Source organism: Homo sapiens, chromosome 9, assembly GCF_000001405.40.
Source record: "Homo sapiens chromosome 9, GRCh38.p14 Primary Assembly".
NCBI classification, from domain to species: domain Eukaryota; kingdom Metazoa; phylum Chordata; class Mammalia; order Primates; family Hominidae; genus Homo; species Homo sapiens.
This window is the reverse complement of record NC_000009.12, coordinates 80,205,438-80,207,783: the sequence shown is the minus strand read 5'-3', so window position 1 is coordinate 80,207,783 and position 2,346 is coordinate 80,205,438.

Below are 2,346 nucleotides of genomic sequence, written 5' to 3'. Positions count from 1 at the left end.
CTCTCCTTCAAAGGCGGAGGGAAGGAGAGAATCTTTAATCATAATAATCCTGAGTAAAAAAAAATCTTGGAAATATAACATCTGCTTCTGTGCTTTGTTGTTTTGCAGGATAACAGTGATTGCTTTAGCAGCTTCTATTGCCATATGTGTACAATAAGTAAATGAACATAAAATTGAACAAACACATAAAAGAAGGATAAACCCACCCAGCTTAACAAATCCACTCTCTCACCTGCTGTGCCCTGAAACATAAAAAAAGAAATTATTTGGATCATGAGGATTAGTAAAATAACAGTCTCTGTTAACAACATTGACAGGCAGTATAAGGATAATTTGTCTGATGTGGGGGCTAACAGTCTTGCGTCTTAATTCTTAATACTGCTCTCTTTCACCACTATGTCCCTAATCAGGGAATAAAATTTACCTATACATTTGTCTTAGAAAAAAAATCAAAAGTTAATAGTCCAAATAGACTTTTTTTCTGCTCAGTTGGAAATGAAACCCATGACTGGATTTTTCCTTATCATTCGCATAGTCAATGTGTAAAACATCATCGTGAATTTAGGTGCACTAAGATCAGAAAATTTAAAACTGGTCCTCCCAAGCCATTATTAATTAACCAATATTGTGTATAATACTAAAATCTTAGGGACCCTTTTAATATTTAAAAAGCTCTGCAAACATTAGTTAATTTATCCTCATCATTTTTCTCATGCATCATAATTTGTAATTACTAAAGGTCCTTAATATTTGTCAATAAATAAATCTTTTTAACTGTCACTGCTGCATCAAAGTCATACTGTTAATGAAAAAAAGTATTATTTTGGATTTAGCAAAACAACAATGGGAGTAGATTATTTTTATATGCTTAAACATAGTGATAATTAAAAATCAAAAATAAATAAAAGATGTTTCATATATTGCTGGTCATTCTACATTGTAATTAATATCCTCATTTTTTTCCTAGCCTTTAGTTTCTCATGTGTTTCTACTCTAATGAGGTAGCTAAAAGAACAAACAATGAATCCAACAGATCCAGGTTCAACTTTATGGCTACCACTTACTAACTATGTGATCTTGGGAAAGCTACTTAGCCTACCAGGGCCTTAGTTTTCTACTTTACAAAATTAGGCACAAAATAATCACCAACCTCACATATATTTTATAAGGGTTAAATGAAAGTATGGATTTAAATTGCTTAATATAGGACCAGTCACTTAATAAGTGATCAAAAATATTACCTGGCACAATCATTGTATTTTTTCCAATGGTGTTATCTTCATAATTATTTTGTTTCTTTTAATATTTGTCTCCTTCAGTGTCACCAAAGTCTCTTCATTCAGTGAGTTACTCTTATCTTCTTATTTAAAAAAAAAACCTTCTATTTCTAATGATTCCTCATTCTTTTTATAACTTTTCTCTCTTACCTCCTCCCAACCATTTTATATAATAGACAGGTTTGCCTTGAAGCTAATGAGGCTTAATCTTCAAAGATCCAAACTTTATAGGTACCTTATTAGATTCTAGGAGGAGCTCCAGAAATTAGTTCATATAATCATATGCTTTGGAAAAAAAAATTTAAAGTGATCTATTTTAACTGTAATTAGATAAGATCACTGTCTTGTCTTTTCCAAATTCCTCTCCATCATGTTCGTTTGGTATTGGGTCACACTAGAATGGCCATAGGCTTTTTGGGCATCTGGCTAAAGGAAAGTCTGAGTTGAGTCTATTATGTGGTTGAACACTACCACGTATAATGAAGTATTTATTGTTCTATTATTGGAATAGCTTCCAGAAACACTCCTATTGCCCACACTACTAATGTAACTGGCACTAAGGTGTGGAGGCACAAGGACAAAGGCAATTTTGCAACATAGCTATGTCCTACACTTCATACTTCTGAAAGCATGTGTGGTTGAAGATGAAAAAAAGAATTGAAATGTAGGAAGCCAGAAACTGTTCTGGAGAAAATTATTTCGATCATCAGACATAAAGTGTAAGTAAAAGGTTGATTCTCATCAATGCTTAGTCAAAACAGACATTTTCTCCTGTCAATAATATACTTGATCAATAATGGAATGTGTGTGTGTGTGTGTGTGTGTAATGAGACTTGTATCAGAGTTCCTATACTGCATTAACATGTAGTGGTGCTGAAATTACTAATGCATTTGCAACTGTACAGTATTTATGAAAAAGTAATCTATAGATGACTCAAATATAAAATCAACTAATAATAATTAGACATTATTGATAAATTATGAAGCTGAACCTTTTCTAAATTAATAATTTAAAGCAAATTCTAACCAGCCATGATAAAAGAAATCTATGTATATAAAATATACATAT